This window comes from Homo sapiens, chromosome 5 (genome assembly GCF_000001405.40).
Source record: "Homo sapiens chromosome 5, GRCh38.p14 Primary Assembly".
Taxonomy (NCBI): domain Eukaryota; kingdom Metazoa; phylum Chordata; class Mammalia; order Primates; family Hominidae; genus Homo; species Homo sapiens.
Genome location: NC_000005.10, coordinates 131,252,738 through 131,274,771, shown reverse-complemented (window position 1 = coordinate 131,274,771; position 22,034 = coordinate 131,252,738). Strand labels below are relative to the sequence as shown.

Genomic DNA, 22,034 nt, shown 5'->3' with positions numbered 1-22,034 from the left:
CCTCAGGGAGGTCTATATGTGGCCAGAGTGGAAGAAGCCAAGGAGAAACTGGTAAGACATGAAATCAGACAAGCAGGACGTACAGACGATGAAGGGTCAAGACTTCTTGAATACTTAGGTATTAAGTATTCTGGTTTTTATAAACGATATGGAAAGCCACTAAGGGTTTGAACACAGGAGTAAAATAATCAGACTTTCATTTTCAAAAGATCGCCCTTGTTGCTGGTTTGAGAACAGAAAACAGCAGAAGCAGCATGTAGAGACTACTAAAATAATACATGCAAGAGACGATGGTTGCTTACAGAGGTGGCAGCAGATGAAGAGAGCAAATTGTGGTTACATTTATTCTTATGGCAGTTTTTAAGATAGATAAGGGACATGTTTTCATGCTAATTATTTGAATCACATGTGGGAGTATGAGAAAGAAGAGAGTCAAGAATGTCTACTAGGTTTTTGGCCAAAGAAACTGAAAGATGGAGTTGACATTTAATAGGATGAGGAAGACGGGAATGGGGACAATTACTGGGGTGGAGGGGTGATGGAGAAGAGGGAGGACAAGGAGTTCAGTTGTGACATTAAATCTGGGATGCCTATTAGAAATCTACTTAAAAATGCGGAGTACGCAAATGGATACAGAAGTCTGGAGGTAGGAAACAGATCCAGACTAAAGATAACATTTTTAGTTTGAAATATATAATTCTAGGCTGGGCGCAGTAGCTCACGCCTGTAGTCCCAGCACTTTGGGGGGCCCAGGCAGGCAGATCACTTGAGCCCAAGACCAGCCTGGGCAACATGATGAAAACCCATCTCTATAAAAATACAAAAAACTAGCCGGATGTGGTGGCACATACCTGTGGTCCCAGCTACTTGGAAGACTAAGGTAGGAGGATCACCTGAGCCCGGGAGGTCAAGGCCACAGTGAGCTAAGATCACGCCACTGTACTCCAGCCTGGAGGATGAGCAAGGCCCTGCCTCAAGAAAAAAAAACTTTTTTTTTTTTTTTTGAGACGGAGTCTCTGTCGCCAGGCTGGAGTGCAGTGGTGCGATCTTGGCTCACTGCAAGCTCCGCCTCCTGGGTTCACACCATTCTCCTGCCTCAGCCTCCCTAGTCGCTGGGACTACAAGCACCAGCCGCCACGCCTGGCTAATTTTTTTTTGTATTTTTAGTAGAGACGGGGTTTCACCATGTTAGCCAGGATGGTCTCGATCTCCTGACCTCGTGATCTGCCTGCCTCAGCCTCCCAAAGTGCTGGGATTACAGGCATGAGCCACCGCGCCTGGCCAAGAAAAAGTTTTTTAATTAAAAAAAAAAATAAGGCTGGGCGCAGTGGCTCATGCCTATAATCCCAGCACTTTGGGAGGCCAAGCTGGGCAGATCACTTGAAGTCAAGAGTTTGAGACCAGCCTGGCCATCATGGTGAAACCCAATCTCTACTAAAAATACAAAAATAAGCCGGGCGTGGTGATGGGCGCCTGTAGTCCCAGGTACTCGGGAGGCTGAGACAGGAGAATCACTTGAACCCAGGAGGCGGAGGTTGCAGTGAGCCAAGATCACGCCACTGCACTCCAGCCTGGGCAACAGAGCAAGACTCTATCTCAAAAAAAAAAAAAAATTATAAAAAAATGTAAAATATATATATATGTATATAATTCTAGCTAGACAGAATGAGATCACAGGGGACTAAAACTAAATATAAATATAGAAGAGGTCTAAACATATGTCCCTGAAACACTGCCTCATTTTTTAGAAGTTGGGGCAATGAAAAGGAACCAACAAAAGAAACTGAAAACAGGCAGTAATATGCCAGAAACAAAGGGAAGATTTCAAACATGATGTTATCAACCACATCAAATGCTGCTATTGCTTCTACATCCACTGAGATTAGGCTTGAGAACTAGGGAATTTACCACCAACAAAGTCACTCAATAATCTCAAAAAGAGCTGTTATGGTAGAATGAAAGAGAAAAAAAGCAGATTGTAGTGGATCCAAACAAGACAGGGAGCGCGGATGACAACAAATATTTACCTTTTTGGAGAGGAGTAACTAAAGGAAGATGTGGCATTTGGAAAGGTGTTTTTTTAAAGATGGGAGATATTTCAATACATCTATATGCTGATAGGGATAATCCAGTAGAAATGGGGAAATGATGCAGCTCATTAGAATGCAGGAGAATGAGATGAATACTGAAGCAATGCAATGTCCTTAAAAGGAGAAAGGAGCACGAGTGGAGACCATGATGACAGAATAGTAGGAAAGGCAAAGTATGGGTAAAGATACAAGGAGACGTATAAAAGTTTTATTCTGATCGCTTTCATTTTTAACATACAGGAAACAAGGTCATGAGCTGAAAATGAAGAGGAAAAAAGGGAGGCTAGAGGTTTGACGAGAGGTATTAAAAGTAATCTGTGGTGATTAAATCAGGAAACGTACTAGGATTACAGAAGGATTAGGCCAGGTGCAGTGGCTCACGCTTGTAATCTCAGTATTTTGGGAGGCTAAGGCAGGTGGATCACTTGAGGTCAGGAGTGAGAGTTCGAGACCAGCCTGTCCAACGTGGTGAAACCCTGTCTCTATTAAAAAAAAATACAAAAATCAGCCGGGCATGGTGATGGGCGCCTGTAATTCCAGCTACTCGGGAGGCTGAGGCAGGAGAATCACTTGAACCTGGGAGGCAGAAGTTGCAGTGAGCCAAGATCGCGCCACTGCACTCTAGCCTGAGTGACACAGTGAGACTCCATCTCAAAAAGCGAAAACAAAACAAAACAAAACAAAAACAACCAGCAACACAAAGGGCCCTCCTTAGGTCAGTGGTCATGAATTTAAAGGGAGAGCCAGGTCAGCTTGGGTGTGTTTTCCTCAAAGCATGCTCAACTTCCCAGATGTATGCTGGAACAGATGGAGAACTGGACACAAAGGGTGTGGGGGTAAGGGTTTGGCCAGGTGAATTACAACAGAAGAATGCCGCAAGGGAGTTGAATGTGTATGAAAAGGCAAAATTATAATAGTGGACCACAAATTTAAGGCAGGGTAAATACTCCAGTGAGGACATGGAAGGAGGTGGTCTTGGGACAGCAAAGAGGTGATGGCAGCAATGGATTACAGATCGCAGACATACAGAAGTACTGTTGAAGAAACGTTTACAGCCATCCCTCGGTATCCATGGGTGATTGGTTCCAGGAACCCTGCCCCACCCTGGCCCAAATCCCCAGATGCTGAAGTCCCTTACATACATAAAATGGCACAGTATTTGCATATAACCTAGGCACATCCACCTGTATACTTTAAATCATCTCTAGACTATGTATACCTAATAAAATATAAATGCCATGTATAATTGTTATACTGTAGCTTTTTACCCTTTTTGTTCTGTTTTTTCTTTTTAAATACTTTTTATCCTTGGCTGGCTAAATCCTCAGATGTGAAATCTGATGATTTGGAGGGTCTACTGCATTTTATGGAAGGAGTTGGAAAGACAGGATGCTGAGACCCCAGTGGAATTAATGAAATTGTGTCTATGAAATATCCTCAATAAAGCATGGGCAGTTCTGGTTAAAATGTTATAGAACTACCTTAAAGACTAAAGAAAAATCTCACCCTGGGCAAAGTGAACCTGCAAGATAAAGGAAACTGGAAGGCTAAATTGGAGCTGGAGAACTGTATCACAGGAATTATAGCTGGAGCTTCCTAGACATAGAATCCTCAACCACTTCCAGCACTCCTGAAGAAAGAGTCAGCTTTGCACAACCTCGCCAACTCAGAAGGCAAAAATGCCAGATCACAATCAGATAAGCCACAATAAAACTATACCTTCCCCCACCTTCCCCCCTATATCTTTTCTCTGTAATCCTAAGCTGCATCCTGAAGTGGTAGGAATACCATACTGAAGAAGACCTGGCAAAGTAAAAAGAGAAGCCAACTAAGTACGACTCTTCCTCCAAAACAAGCTTCTAGGTTCAAAGCAGTTTTGAGCCAAAGAAAAGTTCTGAAATCTACAAGAGTTTGAACACTACTATACTGTACCTTTTAATGACTAAAATAAAACTATTATTGACAAGTGACCAGAAGACTTTTTGTTACCTAAAAGTGACTTAAAAAGCTATCTGATCACGCTAAAAGCTCATCTAGAAGCAGAGAAAGACTTAGTCTACAGGGAGAGTTTTGAAGGCACAGTGAAAGTTGTATTTTGCTTAAACCTTACCAAGTTCCACCCATTAAACCTTTCAGTTCCACAGATACCCATAAATTCCCTCTATATATACGGTGTAAAACATACACAATGTTGAATGTACTCAAAATTCATTTTTGCTTTACTAAACAAAAAGTGAAAGTTTTATTAAGTCAAATGAAACAAAAATAATTTTATGTTGTTGTTTTTATTTTTTTATTTTTTTCTTTGAGACGGAGTCTCACTCTTTCGCCCAGGCTGGAGTGCAATGGCGTGATCTCAGCTCACTGCAAGCTCTGCCTCCCGGGTCCATGCCATTCTCCTGCCTCAGCCTCCCTAGTATCTGGGACTACAGGTGCCTGCCACCACGCCCGGATAATTTTTTGTATCTTTTAGTAGAGATGGGGTTTCACCGTGTTAGCCAGGATGGTCTTGATCTCCTGACCTCATGATCTGCCCGCCTCAGCCTCCCAAAGTGCTGGGATTACAGGCATGTGCCACCATGCCCGGCCAGTTGTTTTTTTTTGTTTGTTTTTTTGTTTTTTTGAGATACTCTTGCTCCATCGCCCAGGCTGGAGTAGAGTGGTGCCATCCCAGCTCACTGCAACCTCTGCCTCCTGGGTTCAAGTAATTCTCCTGCCTCAGACTCCCAAGTGGCTGGGATTACAGGCCTGAGCCACCGCGCCCGGCTAACTCTTGTATTTTTAGTAGAGATGGGGTTTCACCATGTTGGCCAGGTTGGTCTCAAATTCCCGAACTCAGATGATCCACCCACCTCGGCCTCCCAAAGTGCTAGGATTACAGGCGTGAGCCAGGGCACCCTGCCTGTTTTGTTTTTTTTGAGATGGAGTCTCGCTCTGTTGCCCAGGCAGGAGTGCAGTGGCGCAATCTCGGCTCACTGCAGCCTCTGTCTCCCGGGTTCACATGATTCTCCTGCCTCAGCCTCCCAAGTAGCTGGGATTACAGGCATGTGCCACCATGCTTGGCTAATTTTTGTATTTTTAGTAAAGACAAGGTTTCATAGGCCAGGCTGGTCTCGAACTCCTGACCTTAGGTGATCCACCCACCTCAGCCACCCAAAGTGCTGGGATTACAGGAATGAGCCACCACGCCCGGCCAATAATTTTATGTTTTAGTACAAGATAAAAAAATTCGATCATACAGATTAAATATGAAATCACAGCATGAGTTTCTAAGTGGGTAAGCAAGAAAACAGATATATCAGGGCTCATAATTTAGTTATTTCAAAGGTACCTAGATTTAATATGAAATTAACCTAATACTTTCTAGGAAAAAGAGGGAGTATGTTTTACCATAATCTATTTGACTAAAATACATTAACAGGTATTTTACAGTGTCAGGATTAAGACAACTTATTACCAAGTCTTCTTGGCATTTCAATTCAGGAACTCCCTTTGGATGAGGGCCCAAAGCAGTCTCAGCTAAATCCTGCACTACTCATTATTTGTTAGTATTATAGAAAGATACAAGTATACTTAAGCTTTGAACCAAGGTAGCAGGATGCATAAAACTAATAATTTAAAAGCTAAATTCCTCGCCTGGCACGGTGGCTCACGCTTGTAATACCAGCACTTTGGAAGGCCAAGGTGGGCGGATCACGAGGTCAAGCGATCGAGACCATCCTGGCCAACAAGGTGAAACCCCGGCTCTACTAAAAATACAAAAATTAGCCAGGCATGGTGGCACACGCCTGTAGTCCCTGCTACTCGAGAGGCTGAGGGAGGACAGTTGCTTGAACTCAGGAGGCAGAGGTTGCAGTAAGCCGAGATGGGACCACTGCACTCCAGCCTGGCGACAGACTCTGTCTCAAAAAAAAAAAAAAAAAAAAAGCAATCCGGGTGTGGTGGCTCATGCTTCCAATCTCAGCACTTTGGGAGGCTAAGGCAGGCAGATCACCTGAAGTCGGGAGTTCGAGACCAGCCTCACCAACATGGAGAAACCCCGTCTCTACTAAAAATACAAAATTAGCCGAGCATGGTGGTGCATGCCTGTAATCCCAGCTACTCGGGAGGCTGAGGCAGGAGAATTGTTTGAACCGGGGAGGTGGAGGTTGCAGTGAGCCAAGATTGTACCATTTCACTCCACCCTGGGCAACAAGAGTGAAACTCCGTCTCAGAAAAAAAAAAAGAAAAGTTAAATTCCAAGTTTTCCCAGGTAGTATGAAAAACATAAGAAAAAAATGCCCTCACCTAACTAGCAAGTAAATATTAAGAATAAGCTTGACCGGGCACGGTGGCTCACGCCTGTAATCCTAGCACTTTGGGAGGCCAAGGTGGGTGGATCACCTGAGGTCAAGAGTTTGAGATCAGCCTGATGACCATGGAGAAACCCTGTCTTTACTAAAAATATAGAAATTAGTCAGGCATGGTGGCAGACACCTGTAATCCCAGCTACTCAGGAGGCTGAGGCAGGAGAATCACTTGAACCCAGGAGACAGAGGTTGCAGTGAGCCGAGATTGCGCCATTGCACTCCAGCCTGGGGGCAAAGCAAGACTCCGTCTCAAAAAAAAAAAAAAAAAAAAAAAAAAAGAATAAGCATGTACATGTACTTCTCTCAAGTTCCTCTCAAGACGACACAGGAAAACTATAATGTCCCCCTGAGACTGACTAAAACATTACTAACATTAAATATTCAATAAAATGTTAAAATATTTTTCATGAAAATTGAGAATAAGAACAATACAGCAGATCAAAACCAACACGCATTTTTAATTTTGACAAAAATCTTATAAAACCTTAACAAACTATCCCAGACTCATTTTAAAGCAGATGAGGAACCTAAATAAACCCTTTCATAATTTTAAAAAAGACAACTGGGACTTTAAAACATAACAGCAACCTATCCCAGAAAATAATGTGAGAAATTAGTTATGAAGTATTTAAATAAACTTTTTTAAATTAAAACTCTCATGATCTACACAGGCAAATATGAGCACAGCTGCAATATGCCATGTTAGTATCATTATTAATCACTTTATTAATCACATCTGAGGAAAAAGAAATGCTTTCTAAATCATTCTAAAAGGTCTTACAAAAAAATGAACTACCCTCTCCCCAACAGACACACATACCCTGATGAAGAAAACACCAACATTTCAAATATTCCAGCAATTATAACACAAGATAATCCTGAAATTTATTTAGCCTCAAAACATTATGAACTACTCCAAGGAAGGAACAATACTTTGAAAACACTAGTATTTTTAAGGTACAAAAAAAAAAATTATGGCCTGGCGTGGTGGCTCACGCCTGTAATCCCAGCACTTTGGGAGGCCAAGGAGGGCAGATCACGAGGTCAAGAGACCGAGACCATCATGGATGGCCAACACGGTGAAACCCTGTCTCTACTAAAAATACAAAAATTAGCCGGGTGTGGTGGCACACACCTGTAGTCCCAGCTACTTGGGAGGCTGAGGCAGGAGAATTGCTTGAACCAGGGAGGTGGAGGTTGCAGTGAGCCGAGATCGCGCCACTGCACTCCAGCCTGGCAACAGAGCAAGACTCCGTTTCAAAAAAAAAAAAAAAAAATTATGAGTTCTGATTTCTTGGAAAAATATATTTTAACGCAGCTGCTGATTGTCAAGAATTCTGATGATGTGCTTATCCGAAAAAAAAAAAAAAAAAAAAAAGCCAAACACTTTTACTTAACACATCACACCTTATTTACTTGTTCTTTATCATCACTATTACCATTTACAAGTAGGTTTGTCATCAACACCAGACTATCAGTGGTACATTGTCAGGTAACTTCTTCCGAGAAATACACATTTAAAGAAAAAGTATCACAATTCTCTATCACTAAAATTTGAAGAATTACTTTCCTTATTTTTTCTAGAAACAACAATAAAAAGCTAACAGCACACTTTGGGAGGCCGAGGCGGGCAGATCACTTGAGACCAGGAGTTCGAGACCAGCCTGGCCAACACAGAGAAACCCCGTCTCTTTTTGAAAATACAAAAAATAGGGCATAGTGGCGCATGTCTGTAATCCCAGCTACATGGGAGGCTGAGGCATGAGAATAGCTCGAGCCCCAAAGGCGGAGGTTGCAGTAAGCCGAGATCACACCGCTGCACTCTAGCCTGGGTGACAGAGCGAGACTTCGTCTCGAAAAAAAAAAAAAAAAGAAAAAAAAAAGCTAATAGCCGGTAAGTCCAAAATCTGAAACTTCTATTTGAATGTAAACATTATCTTTAACAATGTATTAAGTATTATAAGCATTAACAGTCAAAACAGCCCACTTAAATACAAAAAAGCTAACTATAAAAAAATTAATATCTACATTATTTCATAATAATCAAGACAGACTTTGGATCACATTAGTCTGGATTCCTGAAATAAATAAAATATTACTGCTTTTTAAACATATATAAATAGATTAAAATAGGCAACGCAACCTTATGTTCAGAATAAATGCAAAACTACAAATCTCATCCTTTTAAATTAGTAGTTTTATCACAGTTGCAATACTAAAAGATAAGTCCACATATGGAACCACAAATTATTACTAATAATCCTTCCCTTTTTAGCACTATCAAGTTTATATGCATTTATTTGTAAGTGGTGAACACAAGGACAAAATAAAATTCCTGAAATGAAGCTTTATTTTAAAACATTTCTTATAGAAAAGGAATCTACTGTTTATCTCTGGGGATTTTTAAAAACAGAAAATGTTATTACAAAGATTATTTACAGAAAACAGGACCAGAAGTACATTACCCTTCAATACACTGTACCAAAGTCTCCTAATAGGGACCAGGGAGATAATAAAAACACTAGCTTATTAAATGTCTTCCTCCCTTCATTTTAAAATGTAGACAGATTCTATTAAACTGACAATATAAAAGCTTAACCCAATAATTTTAGCTGTACAAAGTTACTTATTAACCTTTAAAGGCTGTTATGAATTTACACTTCCTGCAGTTCACCTGCCATCTTTCCCAACTGAAATAGCCACTAGGGGTTTAAGACAGTCACCACTTGCGACATCAATAATAAGGAAATAACTTTGCATTCAAGTTTAAGAAAAGGATAATTGCGGATTTTGCCTGTGCCCATAAACAGGTGCTTAATGAATATCTGTTGAGTAAATGGTGACATTTTATTATATTAGTGCAACATTAGCTTTTCCCCCCCTAAATTTAGAGTTCTCCCTTGCTCAAAAAGCAGCAAGACCATACCACAGTCCCTTCTCAAAAACACATAAACTCCTTTATTCATAATGAAACAGAAAGCTGGGTTTCAAAATACAATCCCACTCCCTCTTTATCTTCTCCATTATTTTTAAAGATTAGAAATAAGGCCTGTTTTTAAGAAACAGAAAATGTATACCAACTTCTCTCAAACCAAAAGAGAAAATCCAAATTTGATATATATTTTCTATGTTCATAATATTGAGAGTAAGAACGGACTGTTCATCAACAGTATGTTATGTGGGACAAAAACTAAAAAACGTATATCAAAAATACATACTGTTTGCCGACATTCTTTCCTTAATCATAATCAAGGAGTATGTGCCTAAATTTTACTAGATGTGAGATAAGCTTTGTCTGATATTTCAAGATTCATTCATTCAACAAATACTTTACTGAGCACGTACTATAAGCCAGGCCCTTCAACGAAACATTTAGATTTTGTAAACTGCACATCACCCCCCAAAATTCCCCTAAAAAAGCTTATCATTTAAAATAATTGCAAGCTAAAGAGGAATCCCCAATGTTGTTTCTTACACATAGTGAAGTCAGCGGATCGGGGCGCTTTTTCAGCTGTTAATGCGGCATCAAGGAGCCGCTACCTACCACACCCGTTGCCTAAAATCGCAACTTAAAGCTGCAAGCACTGGGTAAAACAACCTGTAAGAGTAGCTCAGCTCCCGCGACGAGGTAGCCAAGGGCTTTCAAGCCCGGGGCCCGGGGCGAACCGCGGCAGGACCCGCGGACTGAACGCGTCGGGCGCCTCAGGCGAAGAGTCGGAGCTCCGGAGCCAGGTGTCTTTGCTCCCCGAAACCCTCACCTAGAGACCCCGGGCCCTCCCCGCCCGCCCCTCGCACCACCCTCCCGACTTCCAGACGTGAAAAGTTGGGGGGAGGGGGGGGGTCTGCCTTTCCATTTTACATCAGGCGGTCAGTTGGCTGCCTCAGCTGTCCGCCTGCCGTGAATTCTGAACTGAGCGTGTAACCATTCCTCAGAGGAAACAGAAGAAAAACCAAAGGCAGGGTCCTAGGGCATGAGGACCTCGCCCAAACCTGAAATGGAAGACGCAGGCTCAGCCCACAGCCCGCAGCGCGCGGCTGGCAAGGCCGGGCCGCGCTCACCCCAGAGCCCTCAGGGACGAGGGTTCGGGGCTTCGGGACCCCGCCCAAGGGACCGAGAGGGCGAGGCGTGGCGGCCGACGCGCGACTGGGGCTGGCATTGCACTCACCGTCGCCTTTGTCTCAGCCGCCCGCTCCGGCCGCAGCCCCTCTCAGCGCCGGCTCCGCGGCTCCTGCCGCCCCAACGCCTGCAGCTGCGCTCCCCAGCGCGCTCGCAGCTTCCTGGCTCCCCCTCCCCGCCCAGGCTCGCGCGCGGGTTGGGCGGAGCGAGAGGCGGCGCGCGCCCCTAGAGCGGCCGGAGGGGCGGGCGCCGTTGCGCAGCTGCAGCGACCGCAGTGCTGGCCCCGCCCCCCGCCAGGCCCCGCCCCCGCCGTACCTCCGGCATGGGCGAATCGGCCGGCAGGCGATGGGACCCCCGGGATTCGAGCCGCGCGGGTTAGGAATTGGCCTCTGTAGCTAACGGACGCCTGAGATCCGGGACTGCAGCACTCGCGGGAAAGGACGCTCCGAAAGATGGCGACCAAACCTGGGCGGGAGCGTGGGGGAGCCCCTTCCCACCCCGGCCCGGGCCGCGGACATCCGTGCGGAGGAGCGACGTCTGCGCACGTTGTGGGGCGGTGGACGCGCACAGGCGAGGGTGGGTGGGTGGGTGCTGAGCGGTTGTGGGATGAGGGGTCTCTCAGTAGCGGTTGAGAGCCCATCCTCTGACCACTGCTTTTTCATGTAAAAGTCAGAATCGTTCAATCAGTCATTAACTGGTTTAAGGCTGGCTAAACCACCTGGTTTGAAATGCGTGAAAATTACACATGTACTAGACTTCTGTGATTCCTTTGGGTGTGTATTTTACATATCTCAGAAATCAGAAACATGAGTGCCCTATCTAGCAGCCAGCAGTCCACCAAAATGCCTACAAAACTTTATCGTAAGTTCAAAAGGATAGCGTAATGCCACTGAAGTAAGCTCTCGAACCTGTAAGTAATGTATGGTCTTCCCCATTCTAGGTTGATGGCGAGGATTTCTAGTTACTCAGGCCAAAAACTTTATATCATCCATAACTCCTCTCATACTCTCATTTTCACTTTCAATCTGTCAAGAAAGCTTGTTGGTTGTACCTTCAAAATAGAACAGAGTGGGCAACATAGCGAGACCCTGTCTCTACAAAAAAAAAAAAAAAAAATTACCCTGGTGTGTTGGCGTGTACCTATAGTTCCAGGTACTCTGGAGGCTGAGGCCAGGAGTTACGTTACAGTGAGCCATCATCAGGCCACTGCACTCCAGCTTGGGCTGGACAGAGTGACACGTGTTCCAAAAAAAAAAAAAATTCTCCATCTTTCCTACCTTACTATTTTTCCTTTCATCCCATGACACTTCCCACCTTGTAACAATCTTTATAATTCAGAGTCAGCCCTCCGCATCCATGGCTTCTGCGTTTCTGGATTCAACCAACCACAGATGGAAAATATTTGGGAAAAAAAACACAACAATTTAAAAATACAAATAAAAACCAATACAATATAACAGCTATTTACATAGCACTTACATTGTATTATAAGTAATCTATAGATAATTTATACAGGAGGATATATGTGGGTTATGTGCAAATACTATATCATTTTATATTAGAGACCTGAGAGGATTTTGGTACTGGTCGTGGTCCTAGAGCCAATCCCCCTCGGATACTGAGGTATGCCTGTATTTATCTGATATGTTTAGCTTTTAGTGTCTGCCTTCCCTAGTAGAAGCTGGGATTTTTGTCTGTTTTGTTCAACTGATGTATCCCAAGTCCCTAGAATAAATGAAAAATTTAAAAATTCCCTGAGATTAAAAAAAACTAAAGCAACAAAAAATGACCAATTTTTTTTATTTTAAATTTTCTCTTGGTTTCTGTTTCAGTTAACCATAAGATCTTTATCTACATCATACCATAAGCATTTTGATTTTCCAGTTACTGTGAGTACAGTGATGACCATTTACTTGACTTTTAATGCAGTTTTTTGACCAATGATACGCTACAATCCTATTTCACTGAATGAGAATAACATGATAGAGTAGAGGAAGGTTACATAAAGACTATTAATTCTAAAAATTTCCTAGAACAAAAAAAAAAAACCAGAAAATTCCCGAACTTGATATATGTGCTTGTAAGCCTCCCTTTGAATTACAAATGTAGTAACCTTGTGTGAATGCCTTAAGTAGTAAATTTTCTATCATTTACCTATAAAGGGTAGTATTCATTATGTAAACATTTATTTTCAGATTTTTCATATTTTGTAACAAAACATTACGTGATTGAATACCATGATCTAATTTCAGTTGCTATAGCTATTCATGCACCCTTCTCATCAGTTAAAAAAAAAAAAAAAGTCAATTAAGGACACAATGCCATTCAGTTGAATGACACTTTTTTTTTTTTTTTTTGAGACAGGGTCTCACTTTGTCACCCAGGCTGGAGTGCAGTGGCCTAATCTGTGCTATCTCGGCTCTCTGCAACCTCTGTCTTCCGGGCTCAAGTGATCCTCCCACCTCAGCCTCCCAAGGAGCTAGGACTACAAACGCACACTACTACACCTAGCTAATTTTTGTGTTTTTGGTAGACAGGGTCTCACTATGTTGCCCAGGCTGGTCTGAAACTCCCAGGCTCACACAATCCGCCCTCCTCGCCTCACAAAGTGCTGGGATTACAGGTGTAAGCCACGGTGTCTGGTCTGGATGATACTTTTTGTAGAGTATGTGTGCATAATTATTTGCTCAATGTTATATTCATAGCAGTCTCTTTACACATTTAATTTATCCTTTATGATTTAAAACAATTTAAAGCTACAGATTACATGTTACAATTTGATTTTTTATAAAATTAAATAGACTTTTGTTTATAAAAAAATTGACAATGTGTTTCATCAATGTTAATCTGTAGTTTGTAATTACAATAATACCAAATAAAATTTTTCTAGAGTCATTATGATGTATCTGTGCACTGTCCTTAAAATTGTTACCAAGTAAAATCTTATTCCAAAAGAAGGACAAGGGTAAAAAATAGACACTCTTCATAATTTATTCACATAATATACAGTGAAAATACCGATAAAAGTAAATGCAACTATTATAGTCCAGAAGAAACTGTTTTGCATTCCTATTAGTCCATAACAAGTGGAAACATTACACCAAAAACAACAGGAAGGAACATGTTGTTCTAACCAACTGCTAAATAGCCTTGAGCTCATATAACAGCCACATTGGCCTGATTCTGCAATCTTTTACTTAAATAAATTTTCCTTAAAATTTTTAAAGCAAATGGATTTTCCCTAAAAGTATACTATTAATTTTTGTTTTTGTTTTGTTTTTGAGATGGAGTCTTGCTCTTGTTTTCCAGGCTGGAGTGCAATAGCACTATCTTGGCTCACTGCAACCTCTGCCTCCCAGGTTCAAATGATTCTCCTGCCTCAGCTTCCCAAGTAGGTGGGATTACAGGCACCTGCCACCACGCCCGGCTAATTTTTCTATTTTTAGTTGACACAGGGTTTTGCCATGTTGGCCAGGCTGGTCTCGAACTCCTGACCTCAGGGGATCCGCCTGCCTCGGCCTCCCAAAGTACTGAGATTACAGGTGTGAGCCACTGCACTCGGCCTATTAATTTTTTTTTTTTTTTTTTTTTGAGAGAGCGTCTCGCTCTGTCACACAGGCTGGAGTGCAGTGGTGCAATCTTGGCTCACTGCAATCTTCCTCTCCTGAGTTCAAGTGATTCTCTCCTCCTTCAGCCTCCTGAGTAGCTGGGATTACAGGCGCCCACCACCACGCCTGGCTAATTTTTGTATTTTTAGTAGAGACAGGGTTTCACCATGTCGGCCAGGCTGGTCTTGAACTCCTGACCTCAGGTGATCCGCCCGCCCCAGCCTCCCAAAGCGCTGGGATTACAGGCGGGAGCCACCGTGCCCAGCCACTATTAATGTTTTTTAAATCCTCTTTTCCAAAATTTTATAGCAGTTCTTTCTAACATTTAGGAGACATGGTGTACGGAGTCAGAGTCTGGAGTTCAAATCCAAATTCTGCTGCATAATTAGTTAGGTGACTCTAAACAAAGTTTTTTCTAAACCTATCTTTTCTTCTAGTTTAATAAGACCAATAATATTACCTACCTGTGAGGTCTGTTGTGAGAAATATATAAGAGAACTCAAGTAAAATCGTTAGCCTTAGCCTTGGAACAGGCTGTGCTGGTAAAAGCTAGTTATTATCATTACACAAGCATATAATTAAGCTCATTGTTCTACATTTGTAATACTGAGAAAATGGCTCATAAAAGGCCCCAAATGGGATGGTATGAGTTCTACATCAATATAGTATAATGTTTAAATAAATGAACATTTTTAAAGGGGCACTAACATTTCTTCTGCCACCACAACGTGCCAGACACAATTCCAGGCAACAAAGGAAGCTAAGAGAAATAAGGCTCAAACTTAACACAGCTTTACAGTTGAATGACAAGAGACACATTTAATAGATAACTACATTCAAAGTAGTATGACCATATTTCCTGATTTATCAGGAATCTCTTGTCCTGGCTTAAGAGTTATTTGTGTCTTCTTTCATTCTCAGTTGTGTCTAGGTCTGCTGATAAATTAGATGATCATTCCTAACTAGATGTATGTACTAACTGCTTGGGATACAAGAGAAGAAACCACCAGTTCTGTGTAAAGCTATAGAGACTTAAATTGCTTCTTTATAGGAACATCTGAATGAGTCAAGTGAATCAAAAGAAAGAGGAAAGGCAGAGGGAAGATTTAATTGTTATTTTTCTGAGTCAGAACTACAAAGCTTTCTATACTTGTGCTGTGAACATTAACTAATAGCAAACTTAGTAAATCCACTTGACCAATGTTATATAAATTACTTTTGGAATTTAGTATTTTTTTCCTAAAGATATAACAGGCATACTCCAAGAAACAAATTATTCAACATGTATTTGTTTATGTATACAACATACAGTATATCTATTGAGTGTATATTATGTATACATGGTCTGTTTTTAGTGTGATAGAAGATACCAAAAAAATTATAAGGTACAGGCAAGCATCATAAAATCTAATGGCAAACCCCAGATATCTTAGCTAATTAGTCAATAAGGTAATGAGACATATGGCACATGAATTGTGATTTGGGAAGATTGAGAAAAATCAGGAATTGTGGAATTTATTGAGAAAGGAGAAAATAACCAACTGTCAGAATAATCATGGACAGTGGCCCTTTCTGTGACTGAAGCAGCCAAAGATAGGAAGGCAAGCTAAGTCAAACTTTGCTTTACACTCTTACCTGTGGCTGACCCTTGCTGCTCATCAAACCACAAATATTCATTGAATGCCTGCTGTTTGCCAGGTAGCATACCGAGTGCTGTGGAAAAATTCAGTATAAAGCATGGTCTTTGTCTTTAATGAAATGTCACACATCAACATTTGAATAAATAGACACAGTAGCTTTATGAATGTGGTTGAGGGGATCACTGAGGTCTGAATTAGTTAGAAAAGTTTTTTCAAAGGGAAAGGAATTCGAGGTGGGTCTCTGTGAAGAAGGTAGTCAGATCAGTGTTTCCCAAACTATGTATTGCACACCTCTCGTGGTGTGGGAGATGATTTTAGGTGATACACTTCACTGGGGATGGGAAGTGGAAGGATGGAGAGAGGTAAATTAGGGTACATGCAGCTTGGCTAGCTTCAATACATAGCCTGTGATCCAATTGCATTGCAGCCCCTCACCTCAAAAAAAAAAGTTAGGAATTGTAACAAAATGCCTCTGGGGACAACAAGATAAGAGGAAGGGAGCCTTTGGGGTCACTCTGCTATGTCAAGTTACAGACTAAGTAACCAAGAACTCCTTTTTCTTTTTTTTAAACAGCTAACATCTATATATGGCAAGTAATACCAATTTTACATATATGGTAGTAATACAAGTTTCCTTTATATGTTTGTTAAAGTTAAAAATATGAGTCAGCTAAAAGAGACTTAACAAGTAAACAATAATGGTGATAAAGCTTGTGGTAGATTTCACACAGAAAAAAAAACAATAAAGAGAAAGGGGATGTGGCACTAATTTAGGAAGCACAAAGCTTAGTGAGCAAAAGTTCAGAAACTGACATCTTAAAGGTGTGTTCCCAGGGAAAGCAAGAACCACAATGGATCTTGAGTTGAGTATTGGCAGGCTGGCATACAAGAGTGGGGAAAGATGAAGTCCAAAAGGCAGATAACAAGAGGGAGTGGACTCTGCTGGCAATTAAGACTCAGCACCAGGGCTGCAGAGGAGAGGATACTTCTCCCCGTATCTTGAGGAAGCCCCTTAGCACGGAAGAACGAGCAGAACTAGCACCAGTGTGTGTTAGGAAGCCATTCAGCAAGCACCAGGGGGTCTCCCATCTCTTTGGTTCACCAGGAATCCAGGAAGAGGAGAAACGGAATATCTTGTTAGATGGTCTCAAAGCACCGGGAGATTTGGTGCCCTTAAATTTAGCAGGTGGGGCCGAGCGCGGTGGCTTACCCCTGTAATCCTAAAACACTGGGAGACCAAGGCAGGTGGATTGCCTGAGCTCAGGACTTTGAAACCAGCCTGGACAACATGGTGAAAACTCATCTCTACTAAAATACAAAAAATTAGCCAGGCATGGTGGTGCGCACCTGTAGTCCTGGCTACTTGGGAAGCTGAGGCAGGAGAATCGCTTGAACCTGGGAGGCAGAGGTTGCAGTGAGCCAAGATCGTGCCACTGCACTCCAGCCTGGGTGACAGAGCAAGACTCTGTCTCAAAAAAAAAAAAAAAAATTAGCAAGTGGAACAGAAATCTTGCCACTTCCTCCTAGCACAGAGATATACATGTTGCTTTCATAAAGAAAGTTCATCATGAGGCCGGGCACGGTGGCTCATACCTCTAATCCCAGCATTTTGGGAGGCCGAGGCAGACAGATCACTTGAGATCAGGAGTTTGAGACCGGCCTGGCCAACATGGTGAAAACACTTCTCTACTAAAATAATAATAATTTTTTTAAAAAAGAAAGTTCATGGTGAGTAAAAATTGGAAGTGAAGTTGGACGATGGCAAACCAGGATTCTTCACACCCATCTACACTCCTCCCCCAGCAAGTGTTACTGCCTCATAGTGATTCAGCTCTTGCTTTTGACCCCACCACTAGCTGGGCTGGGTAGCTGGGAGTGTTCTGATGCTATGTTCCCTGCCACTGTCACTGTGTTGGTGTACATGCCCTACATAATCCCCAGGACTGTGATGGACAGATTGCTAAAAATGCACCACCCCTTTACCCCAGTACTCTGGGTCCTAATCTCCAGAACCTATGAATAGGATGAGATAGCATTCCTATGATTATGTTAGGTTGTGTGTCATAGTTGACCTTAACATAAGGAGATTATCTGAGTGGGCCTGGTCTAATTACATGAGCCTTTGAAAGTGAAGAGTTTTCTCTGGCTGATGGCAGAAAGAGAAGTCAGAAAGATTCAAAGAATGAAAAGAACGTGATGCTTGTTGCTGACTTGAAGATGGGGGTGGGCCCACATGGCAAAGAATGCAAGTAGGCTCTAGGAGCAGAAAGTGGCCCTTGGCTGACAGCTAGTAAGGAAACAGAACCTCAGTCCTATACCCTCAAGGAACTGAATTCTACCAACAACAGAAAGAGCTTGGGAGCAGATTCTCCCCCAGGCCTCCAGATGAGAACTCTGACTTGCAAACACCTTGATTTCAGCCTGATACCGTGAGCAGAGAACCTGGCCATGCTGTGCTGAACTTCTGACCAACAGAGAGTATGAACTAATAAATGGATGTTGTTTCAGCCCACTAAGTTTATATTAATTTGTCACACAGCAATAGAAAACACAGCCACTGTCACAGACCCAACTCTTCTCTAGACTATCTTTGAGGTGACCCTCTAGCCTCAAGAGTGTATCTGAGTTTCCACTCCATTGTCAAGCCATAAAGACAAAGGCATCAATTCTCAGGCATTAGCAAACAAGCCTGGGATTTTTGTTTATGATTATACAGGGGAGGGAAACCATGGGAAAAGACTGGAATTCCTGATAATTTAGCAAATGGGGACTTACTGTGTTATTTCCACTTGGGCAAAAAAGCAAATGTGACATTATTTTGAAGTAACAAGCTGGTAGTCCTCTCATTTGTGGGTGGTAATAGAATTTCTGGTAGCATATGGTGCCATTCTCTGAAGACGAAAGACAGTGGAAAGACAAAGTCCCTTAGTAAAAAGAGAATGGTCTCTAGTGTCAGGCGGATATGGGTTTGTTTTGCAGATTATCTGATCTTGGGCTTTTGGGCAATTTTCTTAACATATTTGAGTCCCAGTCTACTCATCATAAAATATAATAATGCTTGCATAATTACCTAATAAGATTTGGCAAGAATTAAATTTAATAATTCATATAAAATCTCAATGCCTGCAGCATAGTAGACTATCAATAAGTTGCCTCCATTATTATAGTGGAATTCTTTTCACAACTTCCTTGCAATCTTTTTTTTTCTGAGACGGAGTCTTGCTCTGTCACCCAGGCTGGAGTGCGGTGGCATGATCTCGGCTCACTGCAGCCTCTGCCTCCTGGGTTCAAGCAATTCTCTTGCCTCAGCCTCCCGAGTAGCTGGGATTACAGGCACATGCCACCACGCCCTGCTAATTTTTGTATTCTTAGTAGAGATGGGGTTTCATCATGTTGGCCAGGCTGCTCTTGAACTCTTAACCTCGTGATCTGGCCTGGGCCTCCCAAAGTGCTGGGATTACGGGCATGAGCCACTGCGCCCGGCTCTCTCGCAATCTTTTTATAGTAAAAGTAACTAAATTATGGCATACAATAGACCAATGCTGTCCTACAGAAATATAACTCAAGCCACATATGTAATTTTAAATTTTCAAGTCACTACATTAAAAAAATGTAATTTTAATAATATAATTTATTTAAAATATTGTCATTTCAACATGCAATTAATATAAAATGTATTAATGATATATTTTACATTTTTTAAACTAAGACTTCAAATTCAGAATTTTTTATACTTACAGCACATCTCAATTCAGAATAGCCATGTTTCAGGTGCTCAGTAGCAATGTGTAGCTAGTGACTATGGTACCCGACAGCTTAGTACTAGACTTTAAATAAGTATTTCAGCAAATTCTCCTTTACTCTTTGTCAATTCTAAAATAAACATAAATAAATGATAAGCGATAATTATAAATATATGAGCACACACATACACATATTTCCCATTCTGGCACACAGCAAACTTAGAAGATTTTTTTTTTTACCCATCAGTTCTTGGTTATAATGAGTCACACTTCAATCAGAGGATCAGGGTGTAAGTGGTACACAGATTTCTAATTTCATTTCCAAAACATATGACAAATCGAAGCTACATAGTTAAAGTAATACTTGGCAACCATGATAACTAGGTTAAAACAAAAATCTATCTTGCACTGTAGAAAGCATGTTGGCTTCATTGCTTTTTAAAGTAACTTCAGTAGATGATTATATATTCATGTCATTTGCTTTTCCTTTAAAAACATTGGACTAGACTTTTGGTTCTACATAAGCTTTTTTCTTTCTAAGTTAACCTACCCATTATGCAAGAATGAAGACTAAAGCAAATCAGAAATGGTGGGTAATAGGAGCAATGCACAGCAGCCACCTAAAGACTTACTATTTCTTTTCTTTTCTTTCTTTTTCTTTCTGTCTCTCTTTTTTTTTTTTCGAGATGGAGTCTCACTCTGTTGCCTAGGCTGGAGTGCAGTGGCGCCATCTCAGCTCACTGCAACCTCCGCCTCCTGGGGTCAAGCAGTTCTCCTGCCTCAGCCTCCCGAGTGGCTGGGATTACAGGCGCTGGCTACCAGGGCCAGCTAATTTTTTTATTTTTAGTAGAGATGGAGTTTCGCCATGTTGGCCAGGCTGGTCTTGAACTCCTAACCTCAAGTGATCCACCCGCGTCAGGCTCCCAAAGTGCTGGGATTACAAGAGTGAGCCACCGTGCCCAACCAAGACTTATTATTTCTATACACATGTGAAAAAATCTGTGGTGTGCCCCAGGGCCTGCTGGGGGGAGGTGCGGGGCTGGGGAAGGGATAGCATTAGGAGAAATACCTAATGTAAATGACGAGTTGATGGGTGCAGCAAACCAACGTGGCACATGTATACCTATGTAACAAACCCGCACGTTGTGCACATGTACCCTAGAACTTAAAGTATAATAAAAAGAAGAAAAAATCTGTGGTGTTTCCACTGAACAGAAAGCCCTGTGAAATCTTCAGAGATGATTCAGACAGTGGTGTTTCTCCTAAAGTGGACTCAGAAAATATAGGACACATCCGAACATGCATAATGCAAGGTGGAACACTGAAAGTGACTATGAGAGATTCCCAAAAAAACCTAACGCAAGTATTTGTCAAAAGACAATCCTTCATAGTGAGGAAGAAAAGTTTCCTAGAAAAGTATCCTTTGTAAGAAGTTCTTTTTTTAATTTTTTTTTATTTTTAGACAGAGTTTCACTCTTGTTGCCCAGGCTGGAGTGCAATGGTGCAATCTCAGCTCACTACAACCTCCGCCTCCTGGGTTCAAGCGATTCTCCTGCCTCAGCCTCTTGAGTAGCTGGGATTACAGGCATGTGCCACCATGCCCAGCTAATTTTTGTATTTTTAATAGAGATAGGGTTTCGCCAAGTTGGTCAGGCTGGTCTCAAACTCCTGACCTCAGGTGATCAACCCGCCTCGGCCTCCCAAAGTGCTGGGATTACAGGCATGAGTCACTGTGCCAGGCCTGTAAGAAGTTCTAAAGAATGGTCTTTAAGGGAGAGTTAATAGGATCAATTCAATGCAACAGATTTTTGCTGTCCACCTATTGAGTGGCTATAGTAGGTAGTAGGGATTTCGTGATAGAAATCTCTATCCTTAAGCTGTTGGGATGGTGATGAAGAATGGTGGAAGACAATCCAGCAATTTAGCACTGTTATGTATTCCAACAGCTCTTTTCACCTCATACTACCTCTGACATCCCTTCGCCACTGAGGTATTCCCAAGCTCACCTCCCGTACACCCAAACAGCTTTTGGCTGCTTCTCTTTTTTTTTAGGATATGGCTCTTTATCTTGACCTTGCTCTCAGACCAGCCTTACCATGCGATGAGTGTTTCATTCTCTGACAGAGGTCCTGCAGCCACATGCAGACTCTGCCCATCTTCTGCTCTGGCTCTATCTCTAGTCAGGAAGCTGCTGAATCAAGAAACTGCCACCACAGCTTCCGGCTCCAGCATTACCCTTGTGCGAAGAGGAAGTTGCGCAGTTTAGAAGTATTATCACAGAGATAGATCTAGTGGAGGAAATTTGACTTAACCTGTGTGGGTCCAGAAAGGATTCCTAAAAGAGCAGATGCTTGAGAGGAATTACCCGAGAATGGAGGGAAAGTTGAAATTCTCTGTGCGTAGAAGAATAACATGTATAAAATCAGGAAGATATGAGAGGCTGATGCCTTTAGGGAACTAGAGAATGAGTTCAGGGCTAGAGGAAGG

General features: G+C 42.0%; 1 protein-coding gene across 10 annotated transcripts in view, besides 6 other annotated features; it reads right to left on the bottom strand.

Annotated features, from left to right (window-relative positions):
- CDC42SE2 (CDC42 small effector 2) overlaps positions 1 to 22,034 on the bottom strand; it is a 184,621-nt gene that overhangs the window by 119,901 nt on the left and 42,686 nt on the right. For 6 of the 10 annotated variants that reach the window (XM_047417397.1, NM_001375635.1, NM_001375633.1 and 3 more), the window contains exon 1: positions 10,606 to 10,719. The gene's annotated coding sequence lies outside the window, so the exon portion shown is untranslated. Of the gene's footprint in view, positions 1 to 10,605; positions 10,720 to 15,799; positions 15,878 to 18,579; positions 18,696 to 19,542; positions 19,678 to 21,642; positions 21,754 to 22,034 lie in introns of those variants that run through there. The other 4 variants (XM_047417394.1, XM_047417396.1, XM_047417392.1 and 1 more) reach the window with 4 other exon arrangements.
- Positions 1,841 to 1,920: an enhancer, noted in NCBI's record as "active region_23046". NCBI's record gives its function as "activates an Ori minimal core promoter by ATAC-STARR-seq in GM12878 lymphoblastoid cells {active_cell/tissue: GM12878}" and the evidence as "EXISTENCE:reporter gene assay evidence [ECO:0000049][PMID:35858748]".
- Positions 9,440 to 10,257: an enhancer, noted in NCBI's record as "H3K27ac hESC enhancer chr5:130600208-130601025 (GRCh37/hg19 assembly coordinates)". NCBI's record gives its function as "activates a minimal SCP1, AML or CMV promoter by ChIP-STARR-seq in naive H9 embryonic stem cells {active_cell/tissue: H9 hESC(naive)}" and the evidence as "EXISTENCE:reporter gene assay evidence [ECO:0000049][PMID:30033119]".
- Positions 10,456 to 11,105: a silencer, noted in NCBI's record as "silent region_16306". NCBI's record gives its function as "represses an Ori minimal core promoter by ATAC-STARR-seq in GM12878 lymphoblastoid cells {active_cell/tissue: GM12878}" and the evidence as "EXISTENCE:reporter gene assay evidence [ECO:0000049][PMID:35858748]".
- Positions 11,136 to 11,185: a silencer, noted in NCBI's record as "silent region_16305". NCBI's record gives its function as "represses an Ori minimal core promoter by ATAC-STARR-seq in GM12878 lymphoblastoid cells {active_cell/tissue: GM12878}" and the evidence as "EXISTENCE:reporter gene assay evidence [ECO:0000049][PMID:35858748]".
- Positions 11,196 to 11,265: a silencer, noted in NCBI's record as "silent region_16304". NCBI's record gives its function as "represses an Ori minimal core promoter by ATAC-STARR-seq in GM12878 lymphoblastoid cells {active_cell/tissue: GM12878}" and the evidence as "EXISTENCE:reporter gene assay evidence [ECO:0000049][PMID:35858748]".
- Positions 11,386 to 11,435: an enhancer, noted in NCBI's record as "active region_23045". NCBI's record gives its function as "activates an Ori minimal core promoter by ATAC-STARR-seq in GM12878 lymphoblastoid cells {active_cell/tissue: GM12878}" and the evidence as "EXISTENCE:reporter gene assay evidence [ECO:0000049][PMID:35858748]".